General features: G+C 37.9%; 1 protein-coding gene across 4 annotated transcripts in view; it reads left to right on the plus strand.

Moving 5' to 3' along the window:
* CDH6 (cadherin 6) overlaps positions 1–15,918 on the plus strand; it is a 135,461-nt gene that overhangs the window by 65,308 nt on the left and 54,235 nt on the right. For all 4 annotated transcript variants that reach the window (XM_011513921.4, NM_004932.4, XM_047416591.1 and 1 more), the window contains exon 2: positions 8,353–8,708. In XM_011513921.4, coding sequence (XP_011512223.1) covers positions 8,481–8,708 — 228 coding nt within the window. In that variant the 5' untranslated portion in view covers positions 8,353–8,480. The remainder of the gene's footprint in view (positions 1–8,352; positions 8,709–15,918) is intronic.

Below are 15,918 nucleotides of genomic sequence, written 5' to 3' on the forward strand. Positions count from 1 at the left end.
AAGTTTCAGTTTCTTATCTGCAGAAATCAGAAGAATGTTATCCACCTCTCAGGATTGTCACGAGAATTCACGAAAGCACCTTTGTGATGGGCTTAGCAAGGTGCCTAGCACATAACAAGTTCAGGGGTAGAATATAGCAATGTTAACCAGTATTATTATTTATGAATTAGACATCATGTAATTGATAAAAGACGTACATATATCATCCAAAATTAATTAAATATCTCTACTCTTTGTAACACTTTATGCAAGTATTAGCCTCTAAAAATCATCTATGATATGCCAAGTTCACAATTACTTAATGGTAAACTGAACCATGTGATTGCTTTTGCAATTTAATCAAGTTAATTCTGTTTTGGACTTGCCATCCTCACTAAGATACCTTCATCTCCTGCAGGCCCAGAGCTGCCAGCCAATACTCTCTGGCTGCCCTTTCACTGAGCTGTTAAAAGAAGAGCTAGCTCATAGAAATCATCCATGCTAATTTGTAAGAGGGTTTTAACATCTCCCGGTCTTGTTTAAGCTTCATTGTCTTCCATGGCCATGTGTCTAAAAGAATTAATGTAGCTGCCAGAGAACCTAACATTTAAGCAGAGAATAATATGAAACCCAGTCTTTCCTACAATTCTGCAACCTAAACCTATAGTTTGCTACAGAAATGTTTAAATTCATACCATGAAGAGCTAATTAAAAGTATAAAAATGCTTTCTCTTCTTCTTTGTTCGCATGAGTAAATCTTTTGGGAAAAGACAGGGTCCACGTGCCCAAAGGGCCATCAAGAGCCAGGCAAGGTGCTTAAAGGAATGAAGCAAGCAGGTCTAGGAAAACCCCAGTGGAAGGGAGATGGCAAATGGCATTTGAACATAAGGCCCCAGCAGGGGAGCACAGGAAGGACAGTGGGGACCGTGGCAGCCCGGGAAGCCCTTGCACTGCTGTGGGAGCAGCTCCCTCCACTCCAGAAATAAAGGCCACCAGAACTTTTGAGGTTTCAAGTTAATCCACAAATGAGGATGTATTGATTCCTTGAAGAGTAGCAACTGACTTAAGTTTCTTAATTGTAGAATAAAAGGCATAACAAAAAATGCACAAGAGGCAAAGTGTGGCCCTAGGATGGCCTATATGTGTCGTCTGCTAAGATCTTTGGCAGTTTAAGTAGCTGTAGCCATCTTCATGTTCATAAGTAAGACCTCACATGAATTCATTCATTTTTATGCTCACAGCTATCCTATGAGGTAGGTACTATTAATGTCATCCCATTTTACAGGTAAAGAAACTGAGACACAAATTGGTCCCCTCTTTGTCCAGCCAGCGTTGTGCGGGGCTGAGATTCTCACCTTGACATGTGGCATGCCGGAGTCTGCTCTTCATCATATTCTCATATTTAAATAGTTTAGTAGTTCTCACAATTAAATAGTTTGGACTTTGCCCCCACATGTGGTAGAAAAACTTTGTCTTTATGCTCTGATTTAAGTTTTGATCCATTTTGTTTTCTGTTCCAAGTATTTCACTTCAGCCCCCAACTACATATAAAATGCCATTTTATGTGCTGTAACACATTGGATTTTATCTTTATTAATGCAATGTGTGGAATATGATTTCAGAACAAGGGCAATCCTGTTAAAATCGCTTCATCTGGAAATACATCAGTTTGCAAACAGATTGGCCTATTATCCACAAATATAAACATTTACAAAAATATATATCAGGCATCATTTGGTGGCTCTTGCCATAATGATTCATTGGCACAAGAGAAGTGCTTCATGGTGAGAGGTGCCAAAGCTGTTTGACACATTTCAGTGGAGTTCATTACACACACGAAACGGAACCAATTTTACTCAACAGTGACTTTGACATTTACAGAAAGATGAAATGGAGGTTTAGAAATGAAGACTTCATGTGAAATCCCTACCAAAACTTTTAAATTGGTTCTATCCTTATGATACCACTTCTAGAAGATCAGCCATGCTCTATAGACACATTTTTATTCACAGCAGGTGGCCACCTATTCAAAACAAAGTTTCTTGGGTTATCGGGAAATTGATCTTGAGCAAGCTTAATTGGCTGTAAAACTCTTCTCTCAGAATAAATACCATATTTTTTTTTAAGATGTACTTGTAGGAAGGCATGTTTCCCTTTGGCTTCACTCTGTTTAATTCATCTTCCTTATTTTTTCATTCTGTTTCCTTAATTTTCTGAGCTTTCATGGATTAAGTACCATCTTCATCCTCATTGCCCACAAAGACAGGGCAGGACTCTTGAGATTTCAGGCTCAGAGTTGTAATGCAGTAAGAGAGATGTTAAAAAGTCATAAATAACCAGCTGTTTTCTACTTCCTTAATGATATAATGCAAGAAAATGTACCAAAAAGTAATAAGGTATTTATGATACTTATGCTAAAAAGAGTTCTATATTTATGGGTTAGGAAGAGTTAAGTGTAGATCATCCAATGGGGTAGGATGATCTAAGTATAGACCACATTTACAGAAATGTAAAGTACTATGCCACAGTATGTGTATGCAACACCATTTATCTGAAGAAACAATTCATAATAGGTTGTAAAACATTCTCTTACTATGGTAACTGGTTAAAGTATATTAATAACGTTGCTTTACTGAATGCTTATTGTGCTTTCAATGCCAAAGTTAAGGCTCCGCATACTAAAGAACAAATGTGCTTGGTTTAATTTGTAAGTCTAGATAGCATTATAGTAATATTGCACTGATTAGAATTAATCAACAACACCAGAACAAGTCTATGTCAAGTCTAAATTTTAAAACTTGAACGTAATTATATTGCTTTCAAATCTGTCTTATATTTACTTAGTCTGCAAATAGTGTAATAAAATCAGTATCTCAAAACCAGATAATACATTTGAGTCATTCAAACTGCTATCAAACATGTCACCAGAGAAGCAATTCAATCAATAAAAAAAATTCTAATTAGCATATTAATTATTTGCGAATAAAAGTTGATTCCAAAGTACACTAGGGAACTTGAGGACATGCTAGTTTGTCTTCTCATTCTATATATCCCTATGAAATATTTTTGCACTATTAATTTCCAATAACCTAGGGAAAAAGATTTTGCTAATCAAAAGAAAACGTCAGCCCAGCCTTTGCATTAATTATCACATATTCTATCTTGATAGGACTTGAATTAATAAGGCCCAGGCTCCTCCAAAATGGCACGTATTAAATAAAATCTGGACTTGACCATGCACTCTTGTGGATATTGAAGTACATATGCATATTGGCTGCCAGGCAAATAAATGTTCAAAGTATGCAATTACCAAAGCTATGTGGGCCTTGCCCCACTATCCATAAACATCTCAATTACCTTCTAGTCATCAATAAAACAGGGTTCTGCAAAGATTCAAACTAGTTTTCTTGACCACCAACCACTTTTGCATATCAAATTTCCGAGCATACAAACGATTCCCTGTAGAAAATAGAAAGTTCCTCACAAAAAACTAAGATCCCAACAAAAAGAAAAGAAGAGACATAGTCTATTAAGCAGCCTTTTACGTCCACTGCTAAACTGTCATTAGACTATAATTAGGTAGTTCACGTTTTATTTTTATCGAGTTGTTCATGTTTCTAATTGGTTGGCTCCTAATGCTAAGAGGGAATGCAGGGTAGGGTGAGGGCAGAAAAAAGGTTCAACATCTACTTCGTTTTGCTTTTCCTCCCTCCCACCATCTAGTCTTCAGGTATTTTGTGATTGAATAACCCTGCCTGCTATTTTAAGTTCAGTATCTGAGCATGCCCTTACTTCTTTCCCCTTTCCATTTACTTCCTGACATCTACAAAATGAGCCACCACATCTGATTGCCACTTACCACATGGTTCCCCTCTACTTTGCCTGCTCAGAAATCAACCGTTTCCCACAGTTCTCAAAGTTGCGCTGCTTCCGGGCCATTGTCTTCCTTTGCTTGAACGTATGACCGTTCTGCACCGTAAGAATCCTGTTTTTTGCATTTAGGGGCATGCTTGCAGCATACTAATTTTTTTCCCATTTACGGTTTTTCAGGTTAAGTAAAATCTAAAATTTGGAAATTGTTTTAGTTCATTTTCTATTGCTTATAACAGAATACCTGAAACTGGATAATTTATAAAGAAAAGGATTTTATTTCTTAAAGTTATAGAAACTAAGTGCAAGGTCGAGGTGCCACATCTGGTGAGGACCTTCTTACTGGTGGGGACTCTCTGCATAGTATCACATGGTGAGGGGGCTCAGCATGCTAACATGTGATTCAGGTCTCTCTTCTTTTTTTTTTTTTTTTTCCAGACAGTTTTGCTCTTGTCGCCCAGGCTGGAGTGCAATAGCATGATCTCTGCTCACTGCAACCTCCGCATCCTGGGTTCAAGCGCCTCCTGCCTCAGCCTCCTGAGTAGCTGGGATTACAGGCACCTGCCACCATGCCCAGCTAATTTTTGTTTTTTGGGGTCTTTTTTTTTTTTTTTTTTTTTGGTAGAGATGGGGTTTCACCATGTTAGCCAGGCTGGTCTCCAACTCCTGACCTCAGGCGATCCACCCACCTCGGCCTTCCAAAGTGCTGGAATTACAGGCATGAGCCACTGCACTTGGCCTCTCTTCCTCTTCTTATAAAGCCACCACTCCCACTCTCATGATAACCCATTAATCCATTAATCCATGAACAAGTTAATCCATTCATGAGGGCAGAAAGAACCCTCACAATCCAATCATGTTTTAAAATCCCCACCTCTTAATACTGCCACATGGGGGATTAAATTTCAACATGAGTTTTGGAGGGGGCAGATATTCAAACCATAGCAGATATCATTCATTTTAACTTATCAAATTCTTTTCTGATATAACATTAGAATAATATCAGTATGTTAATTACCTGTACCATTTTTACAGGGGCAAAATTACTAAGTTAAAGCTAGTTCTGATTTTCTTTCACCTGAATAAAGATGACTTTTAAAATCTTAACGTAATAAAATGGAAAGAAGAAAATATAGATTCTATGAATGAGTCCATCCTCCAGTGAACTTTCTTTTGGCCCATATTCTTCTTCTTCATGCAAACAGTGGTGACAAGTCACACAGTATCTCTGCCTTCCCTGTTTCTATACCACTACTGTTAAATGCTGAATTGAAGTCCACACAAAAGAAAACAATTAGTATATAAATTACTTTAGATTTTTCAAGTGTTTCTATTCTTTAATTTTAAGAAAATTTTGACTTGCTTAGAGATGTTTTCTGATCAATAAACTATCTTCTGCAGATGTTTGCAATGTATTGTAGATGGATTCTATACATGCAATACAAATGAGAATAACAACAATAATTAGTGATTAGAATACCTAATACTTATTAATACCTTACCAAATGCCAGGCACTGTTCTAAATGGTTTGCATGTAATGCCTCATTTAATCCTTATAACACCCTATGAGGTGGATAGTATCATTATCCCATTTACAGAATAAAGAAACTGAGGTACATTGAAATGAAACCATTTTCCCAGGTTCACAGAGACTAATGTTGCAGACCCCAGCACTGTTGATCATAACCACTATGCAATCCTGCCTATTAAGAAATAGTAAATGAGAATTGCTAAGTTATATATTCAACAGTTTAAAGGGGTTTTTTAAAAAAACTATAGAATTTCACAGAGAAATCTATCCCTCTAAAAAACTAACATCAAATATGAGTTTGAGCATATTGATCATAGTAATTCAATTACATATATTAAGTTTTTAGCAAGGATGCACCCTGTCAAGTTGATACAAAAAGAACTGGGTTGTAGCAAAATTAGATGTTGTAGCCTACTTGGAAATACTACTTAAATTTTTATCACTTAAAATCTCATTACCAACTAAGAAAAAGAATGAAATACTTGACATTTTGGTATCTGTGATATTAAAAAGAACTAATATTTAATATTCAAGTGGCAACAGCTTGTAGAGTTTGCACACAACACCCACAGGGATCGATTTTTCTCTAAAACGGCCTTCAGGAGTCTGCCTTTTAAACAGCTGACACCTCCATTCTCTGCATCCCTCTTTCCTGCCAGCACCATGGGGTGCTCACAGAGTGCAGCAGCAGACGTGTAATTCTTCACTGCAGGATTTGTCTTTGCAAATAATGGAGAATGAGGGAAATTAAGAAAAATGTAATTTCCACAGAATCGACCTCAGTGTAATCTCTGCTACTAAAAATGAATAGATGTCTTTAGAGGGCTTTTCTCCATATGCACTCTCAGTCCCTTTTATATACCATCTATGAGGAGAGAGAAGAATCATTCGTACCTAATTGATCGTCAGTCATTCCACCCCTGTACCAAGGCTGCATTATGACAAGTATACTGTTGCCTGGCATTTTTCCAGTATGGCTAATTGTCGCAGTACTAATTTACTTACCTGTGGAATATACAACTTCCCCAGCCTGCTGTCAAGAAGATGCATAATAATGGAATAAAGGATTTAAAATGCCGAATACTATAAAATATTTCACTTATCTTTCAATAGAAGGCTTTGACTAAGCCATGTATTAGGTGGCTATAATTACTCATTGCTGGAGTGTAAAACAAACAAAAACCTTGTCACATATACATTTACCTGGTAGAATGACAAGAATCAAGTGAACCAATCTTTTCTGATGTAGAGAAAAAAATACTAATCAGATTACCTAAAACATGTTCTTGATCTGCATGGTTTAGAGTAAATGTACCAGTTCAATTACTATTATATTCCGAATTACAAAACACTTCCTTTTTGTTGTTGTTGTTGTTAGTATTATTTAAGACAATGTTTTTTTTTTTTTTTTTTTTTTTGAGATGGAGTCTCACTCTGTCGCCCAGGCTGGAGTGCAGTGGTGCAATCTTGGCTCACTGCAAGCTCCGTCTCCTGGGTTCACGCCATTCTCCTGCCTCAGCCTCCCAAGTAGCTGGGACTACAGGTGCCCGCCACCACGCCCGGCTAATTTTTTGTATTTTTTTAGTAGAGACGGGGTTTCATTATGTTAGCCAGGATGGTCTCGATCTCCTGACCTCATGATCTGCCCACCTCGGCCTCCCAAATTTGCTGGGATTACAGGCATGAGCCACTGTGCCTGGCAAGACAATGTTTTTTCTATATCAAATAGTAAGACAAAGGAGTAATTTACTGTTTTTTTCGCCCAAAAATGTGGCAAAGTTTCTAAAGGAGATATAGGCATATATGGCTTTAATTGCATAAACTAGTAAACCAATTTGGGACATCTGTACCAAGCAATCTGGCCACCAGGATTTTTTTAATGGTAGATTGTGTTTTTGAAAATTAATATTTCCCATGGAAAAGTATCACTCAAAAGTATAATAGCTGACTTTTTTGTTACAGTTTGTTACAGTTCTTACAGTTGATGGCCCTCACTGGTACTTAGATATGTTTGACACATCTGTGAAAATGACCTAGCAACTGTGCAACTGTAATTTTTGTTATAACAAATGTCATTGTAGTTTTACCAGTTTTAACAAATATGCTTGATTGTTTATGATACAGGCAAAAATTTATAGATAAAGTTTAGGATTTCCTAAGGAAATTTGAATAGAATCGCTCATTTAATTCTTACAGTCTATTAAATACAAATTCTATAGGTTGCTGAATCACCCATCCTATAGTATTATTAGGTCCTCTAAGGAAAAAAAAAAAAGTTTTCTGGTCAAGTTTGGGAAATGCTGGATTAAATATGTATAGGCTTATCTTTATTGTTGCAAAATATCACTTTAAAAACTTTATTTCAGGCACTTTGATATGCTAATCTGCACTCCGAAAAGAAGGTGTATGGTCTTTTCCAACCTTATTTGACCCAAAGGTCCTATCACAGCTCATCTCTGAAGCCAAGAGTCTGCAGAGCTGGCTCTGCCTGACTCACGCCTGGCACATCTCAGGGATTCAATACATTTTAGCAAAATTTCAACATTATCCACTTTCAATTGAATTCAAATGGTCTGTGATATACTTTGCCTTAAACTTGTTCATGAGGATAAATATGCAAATAGAATCAGAAACACAAACTCATTTTTTCTACCAGATCTCAGCCCACATATTCCAAGGTAAAAGAGTAGCGCAATAATCCATTCTGGCACATTGACCTATGGCAACACTATTCCTTAAAATAGGATTTTTAAGCGGTAGAAAAGGAGAAAGAAAACAACAGCTTCCTACCCAGCACATGCCTTCCATTTAGCATGTCTGGAAGACCGTCTCCTTCGTTTCAAAATTGATAGCCAACTTTTTTTGTTGTTTTGCTATTCAAATTTCTGTCCTCTTTTTTCCCAGCCTATTTGCTCTAACACTGAATTTTAAGCATCTCTAAAAATGCTTGTTATGTTATTATTCTTTCCAGATATCCTCTGAGAGCCAAGCAAAGAACATTAAGGAAGGAAGGAGGAATGAGGCTGGATACGGTGCAGTGAAAAAGGCACTTCCAAGAGTGGGGCACTCACTACGCACAGACTCGACGGTGCCATCAGCATGAGAACTTACCGCTACTTCTTGCTGCTCTTTTGGGTGGGCCAGCCCTACCCAACTCTCTCAACTCCACTATCAAAGAGGACTAGTGGTTTCCCAGCAAAGAAAAGGGCCCTGGAGCTCTCTGGAAACAGCAAAAATGAGCTGAACCGTTCAAAAAGGAGCTGGATGTGGAATCAGTTCTTTCTCCTGGAGGAATACACAGGATCCGATTATCAGTATGTGGGCAAGGTAGGATTCCTTTGAGTGCTTTGACATTCTGGGTTTAAAGCCTGAAGAAGTTACTTCTAATAAATAGATGGGGAGGATGTGTACTATTCCCCAATATAGTAAGAATTGTTGCTTAACTGGTAAGACTTTTTTTTTTTCCACTTGAGTAGTTTCGGGAAGAAGACTAGCAAAAAGCTGAGAAATGTTAGCCCTGCAACAAAGAGAGAGAAAATGCTCCAGTTGAAACACCCACAACCATCCGCATAGGATTATCATAAATCCTTTAATTTTTACTGTAGCTTAAAAAATGTGGTCTGGCTATTCTATAAAGTAGGGTGTATTAAAAATCGGAATGGAGAGATTAAGCTGTAAGGAAAGGAAGTCTCCTTTTTCTCTCATTCTAAAAGCAAATGTTCTGAGCTATAGTCCTTTGGCCAAGTTCAAATTAACTACTTCTTAACTCTGCTACCTATAGAACCATCCATTCTCTGGCCAAATGGAGCCCTTTGCTGTCAAAACCCACCACTGCCTTAGATTTGGCAGCTGCTGCTGCTGCTACTGTTTAGTCTTATCTCAAATAGTTGGCAAAAAACAGGTATTTCAAAATCTTTTGATTTAACTGTGGCAAAATTTGTAAAAGAGAAAAATGCTTATGTAAAGGTACTCTTTCCAAATATCATCTGACCATTTTATTGACTCCAGAAAGTAAAGTGAGGAGGCATCACTTATTATAGCCCTCACAGATTCTGGAGCTGAGTCAGGGAAACAGCTTGGTTAGCCTGTCATCGTGAGTTTCGTTGGAATTTTATCATCAGCTCCATCCTTGTTGCAGAATATCTGCATACTGAAAAGATGTCAAAGAAAAAACCAGGGTTACAGGTTCTGTGCCTCATAAGGTAATGTTGATTTTTTAAAAATCATTGTCACACATCCCTTCATAAACAAACTGATAATGAACATAAAAAGATACATGAGAAAATGCATTCATTTGTGATTACAGCTATGATTTTAAGACATCTATATTAGGATATCATGCAAAAAACATACACTTTGCAGATTCCAAAGGCTGCATGTTCACACTTCAATCTGTGATCAAATATCCCTGAATAACCATATGTAAATATTCTCTTTAAGTATTTACCACCGTAAATGAAGGAAAGCCATCCACGGCTTGGGCTGATGTAACCAGGAAGTATTCCAATGATGTGAATTATTAATGTAGAATAAAGTAAGAGAGGAAGTATTCAGTGAAGGGGTGAACGTCAACACAGATCCCCAAGGATCTAGCCATGTATTTGCTGTGAAATTCACACTCTGTGTGACTACTAAAGACAGTTCAGCTACTCGTACTTCACTCCATTTCCTTTGTGAAATCTGAAGAACTCTAGGTGAATCAGGTGATGGTTGTAAAAAATAATCATCATCTTAAAATCTTTAAAGCACTTTTTACAACACAAATAGCATTGTTGCCATAGAAGATTAAGTTTTAAAAAGTGCTTTATCTAAATGATGTTTCCCCTTTTTCCTTTCCAGTTTTCCTCTCCAATTGTGATGCCATTTTACATCTATAATGCCACATATTCTTAAAAAAAAAAAAAAAAGCGGGGGGGGCAGGTTATTTCAGGATACTAGAAACAGCAGTGGCTAAAACCTCGTAAGAATCAGTTTTACAATTATAATTGTGAGAATATTGCCATGGGGAAAAGTTACAAGCTGTGGACTCAAACAGATCCGAGAATGTGTCACAGTGCTGCCAGTTGCCAATTATGTGACCTAGGACAGGTTGTTAACCTTTCTGGGCTTTCATTTCTTCATCTAGAAAGTGCATGCAGCAATGCCTACCTGGTGGAGTTGCAGTAAAGTGATAAAGGCACTAGTGACAGGGACAAAGTAGGTGCATAAAGAAGTTACTATTATTGGTAAAAAATCCGTTGTATATGTTCTACTAAATCCATGTGCAACACATTGAAGTGGCATATTGACTTTCATATCACTGCAGAAGTAAACTGAGGTAATTAACAAAGCTCAGTGGAAAATACACAGAATCATGGCAAAATCTCTTTACAACCACAGCTTTGACTGGATTCGTTGGATTTGGATATTTTATGGGCAGCTAGATAAATTTCCCTCCCTCTTCATCACCTGTCCTTCCCTGCTGCCCCTCCTTCTCCTCCTTGTAGTTATAACACATGAGATATTTGCTGGAAAAAAAAATCAAGGGCAACAACTGAATTTGTCAAAGTTGCCTCATGGCTGTATCAGACACGCGTTAGAGGTGGTTTTGAGCTGTTGATATGGCATTTCCTCAAATTCCTCTTTGAAGTTATATGATATAAACAGATGAAACAATTAGACTAGTATTTTTTACCACAATTAAAAATAATAGAAAAAAATACATTTTTAAAAAAGATAAAGGAGAGAGTTGCCCCTCATTTGTGGCCACAAGTTGGTCCACCTTTAATTTATCTGGGATAAAAGAGACACCTGATGCGATTATCCAGCTCCACTAGGTCAGGAAACTTTTGGCAGGAAAAAACGATTAGACCAGAGCAGAGGTTCCAAAACTTTCTTGGTTCACAGAGCCCTTAGGCTCAAAGAAATACCTTATAGTGCCATGTATTAAATAGTTAGACTCAAACAACTTAATAAGAATTTTTGTTCTAACAACTTAATAATTATTTGAAAAAATAATACACGTAAATTGACAAAAAAAATTATTTCACTCTTAACCACACTTACAAATGGTATGTGTGCATCTCTTGAGCACAGCACAATTTCTCAATCAGATCAAACACAGCCCTCTCATTTCCTTTTCCACTTTGATTTTTCCACTGTAATTGCTTTTTATCACAGCCACTATGGAAAACCCAGCTTTATAAATATAAATCATTGAAAGGAATGCAGCACCACCTACTGTTGAAACTGTGAATTACCTTGAGCTAGTAATTCGCAAGGGGTCTGCAGAGGTCACGTGCTGCTTATTTCCCTCCTTTTCCTTCCTTTTTTTTATTTTATTTATTTTTTCTTCTTTTTTGAGCTGGGGTCTTGCTCTGTCACCCAGGTTTAAGTTCAGCAGCGCAGTCTCCGCTTACTGCAGCCTCGACTTCCTGGGCTCAAGATGTCCTCCTGCCCCAACTCCCAACTAGCTGAGACTACAGACATGAACCACCACACCAGGCTATCCCTGAAAATTGTTAAATATTTCCTGGTCAGCTCCCCCCTGCAATCCAGGTTGCCTCAGTGCATACTCTGGGAACCACTAGAATAGTTCGCTTGACATATAAAGGTGTACCAAGGCTAATAGAACCTTTAATCATGCCATTCAAGCAGATTACTACTAAATAAAAATCACTCAGAGCTTAACATGGGTGCCTAACACTCAAAAGATCTATCTGTATGTGGAAGGATAGAAGCATTAACTGAGGAAAAGTAATGCTGTTGAGAAAATAACACTTAAAATAGAAGAAAGAAATATTTACCTTATAAACATCTGTTTGTGTTGATTTGAAATTATGATGACACAAATTAATTTGTGATAAGTCATCGTAGGATGGTGGAGTGAGGAAAATGAGAGTAAGTGAGGGAAACAAAAGGCTTTCAGGTGTAGAAGGGAGGAAAAAAGAGAGGGTCGTGGGTGGCGGTGGGGTTCACAACAGCCAATGACAAGAATAGACAAGATGGTGCTTTACAACTGAAGCACAAGCAACTGCAGCGAGACCTTCCTCCTCTGTCTTAACCTTCCTCAGCCTTCCACTGCGTTCTGTTGCCAGTGAGATGAATGCAGAGACACGGACAAGACAAGGTGGGGAGGAATAGTGGAGAAAGCCCATTATAGCTGAAATATTGACAAACCAAATTCTGATTTATAAGAAAATGTCAACAACCACTCACTTAAAATGGTAGTGGCAGGGACAAGTAACAGGATAGGAAGAAATAAGTGGTCCTGTGTCGGGTAAGTTTCTGAGTTCGTGAGTTTAAGATATAAAAACGGGATGTGATTGTTTTCTAAACCACATCTCCATTTGGGGGCTGCTTGGAGCTGCTTTAGCTTGAGTGGCATCTGTGGCACCTGGGAACTTGTTAGGAAGGCAGAGTCTCGGGCCCCACCTCCAATCTGAATGAATCAGAAATCTGCATTTTAACAAGATCCCCAGGTGAATCGTACGCATGTTAAAATTTGAGAAGTGCTGCTTTTAAAAATACCTTCCCTGGGTCTCACCTCCCCAGAAATTCTGATTTAGTTGGTTTTTAATTATTTATGATTCTAACATGTTGCCAAATTTGGGAACCACTGTCCTAGGAGGATGTTACTGCCAATCGTGATAACAGAATGTGGCAAGTTCAGTGATAAATTGGGCATCCACAAAGTGTTATCAAAATAAAAAGGAGAAGAGCCAACCAGGCTCTGGGGGCTCAGCAGAGCTTCCTAGGTGTTTGAACCCCATCTAAAGACAGAGCCGGTGTTAGCTTATACTGCAGAGGGAGAATTGCCAGGACCTCCCAATTAATCGGATGAAGAAGCCAAAGGTCCGAAAGCTGGAGTTCAAAGAGTGAGAGATTTAGAGATTGAACAACCAGCAGAGTGAATGAGTCCTAACACTGACACAGAAAACAAAGAGGTACATATTTTCTTGTCAGGGGCTAAAGAAAAGAGTATTTTATTTTTGTACAAAATCCACTTGGGTTATCTTTGGCTTATGTAAACTTAATATAATAGAAAAATAGAGGGAAGCCTTATAATTCCACATTTTCAGAGATCCCTGTAACTCTCTAGCCTGTTTTATGTAACATAGCAATTTCTTGATGATGATTGGTATATAGTCTAAGATTACATTCCATAAGAAAAAAAGAGCACAGGTAGACGTAGATACAGATTAGATTTTGAAGACATAGGCATTCATTAATACAAAGATGAATTTACTTAAAATACCAGAATTATGCCTAACTTTAGGCAGAAGATTTGCACAGTACCATTCAACAGCTACAGCAACACTTAATTCCCATCTGCTCCATTTTATCTTCCACAATGTTCTTTAACCCCTCCTTCCACACAATGTATACATAAGACCAGCCTCCACTAACGCATTCGAGGTGCTTCTATTTTTAGTAACATGCCAGGAAATCTGTTTTTATGGAATTTAATAAACTGTATATTTTCAAAGGTATTTTCTGATGGAAGTTGGTGTTGGTTTTGGGGGGATAGTTTTCAAAAAAATTGATAGGCTGTATTTTTTTAAAAACATTATGAAAATGTGGGTTCTATTTGAGGCCTTAATGTACAGGCTTTCCCAATATGCCTTTATCCTCAGTCTTTAAAATTAATGCCTACCCAATTCAATGAAGCCACTCTTCTCAAGATAATTAAACAGTAACGTTTTAACGGACCATAAAAATAAAAGTTGTCAGCCATACACACCTTTAAAATTAGAAATGAGCAATTATTTGTTACTATAATTACATGATCCAAATTAGTAAACATGAAGCAATATTTTATCCGTTCTGAAAGGTTACTTAAAAGATGCCATCGTTGAAATGTTGCTTTTTTAAATTCTTACACTAATTTTTTTTTCCTAAAAAGAGCATAAGCTGAAGAATAGAAACCTCCTGGCACTAATTCCATGCGTGATTCAGCGAGTCTCTGAACCACTTGTTGCTTCAAATAGCAATGTCAGATGAAAGCATCGTCATAGCTGATATTTTCCGAGCATTACTTTGTTCTAAACCCTGTCCTAAGTGCTTCAAGTGGGTTATCTCGTTGGATCCTCGCAGCAACCCTAATGCATGGGTATTGTTTCCATACAGATGAGTAAACTAAGGCTCAGAGCAGTCAAGTATTTCAGGCCATTGTCTCACACTGCTAAGACCCCGACAGACGATACTGTCTGACCACCTAGCTACTCAGTTATACACCCTCGCCTGTATGTCCACTTTGCAAAGCCATTTTGAAGCACAAGTGAAAAAAACCCGGAACATGCGTTGGTGTTCAATGATTGCATTCTACGCAATACCACAAATACTTATTGAGAATCTATTGTGTGAAACCCAAAGGTAGAGAAAAAAAAATTTTTTTAAAGGCTACTTTTAAAGAGCTGCACGAATGTCTGCCTTATTGTTATGCACATTCCTTTCACTTTTTAATTTCCAGAACACATTAGTGGTATTCAAAATAGTTACATGTGAGCATTTTAAAAGTAGATATGCAATTAGTGATCTTTCTGGTCATTGTGATTTTTTTTTAAGCGTCTTTTTCTTTCCCTTGATAACCCTCTCTAAACTTCCGTTCTGGTTCAATGACCTGCAATAATCTTTTCTCCCTGAATCAGGGCAAGTGCCTTGGGCACATCTCTCGTCTTCATCATTTAAATTTAATGCTCAGCCATTTAACTAACATTTTTATGTTTCTATGAGTTAGCACATTTAAGAAAAAGTGCATGCATACACTTGCTCATTGGATATACTTCTTAGAAAATATTTCTAGAAGTAACTTCTCAACAGCCATTATTGGCAATAATCCTCATTTGTTTCCACTGAAAGTGAAACCAACTGATTTCACTTTCTTAATGACAAAAGTTTCAATCTGCTATTTAATACTAAGAAAACGTCTTCTATAGCAGCAATTTTCTGGCTCTTAAACTTCCCTCTGTGCACAGTAGCTCATGTGGAAAGCAGAAAAGTTAGAATGTCTGGCCTTGATCATAAAGCCAAGGTAACTCTTACCCTGGCCAGCCGCACAGCAGAGTAACAGAGAAAGCCTCACAAGGAACCGATCCCAGATCCTCCGGCTTCCATTTCATCATGCCTGTGGAATCCTAGAGCCTCCTGCTCGAATTTAGTTTGTTGAACAAAAGGGAGGGATCGAGCTGGGCATGTGGCTTACGCCTGTAATCCCAGCACTTTGGGAGGCCGAGGCAGGCATATCACTTGAGGTCAGGAATTCGAGACCAGCCTGGCCAACATGGCAAAACCCCATCTCTACTAAAAATACAAAAATTAGACGGGCGTGGTAGCGCATGCCTGGAATCCCAGCTACTCAGGAGACTGAGGCGTGAGAATCACTTGAACCTGGGAGGCAAAGGTTGCAGTGAGCCGAGATCTCGCTACTGCACTCCCAGCCTGGGCAAGAGAATGAGACTCTGTCTCAAATAAATAAATAAATAAACAAGGAGTCAAAGTAAAGAAAAGAGTGAAGAGTTTGGATCCTTTTTGTTCCCACTGTAGCTGTTACTTCCAC

This window comes from Homo sapiens, chromosome 5 (assembly GCF_000001405.40).
Source record: "Homo sapiens chromosome 5, GRCh38.p14 Primary Assembly".
Taxonomy (NCBI): domain Eukaryota; kingdom Metazoa; phylum Chordata; class Mammalia; order Primates; family Hominidae; genus Homo; species Homo sapiens.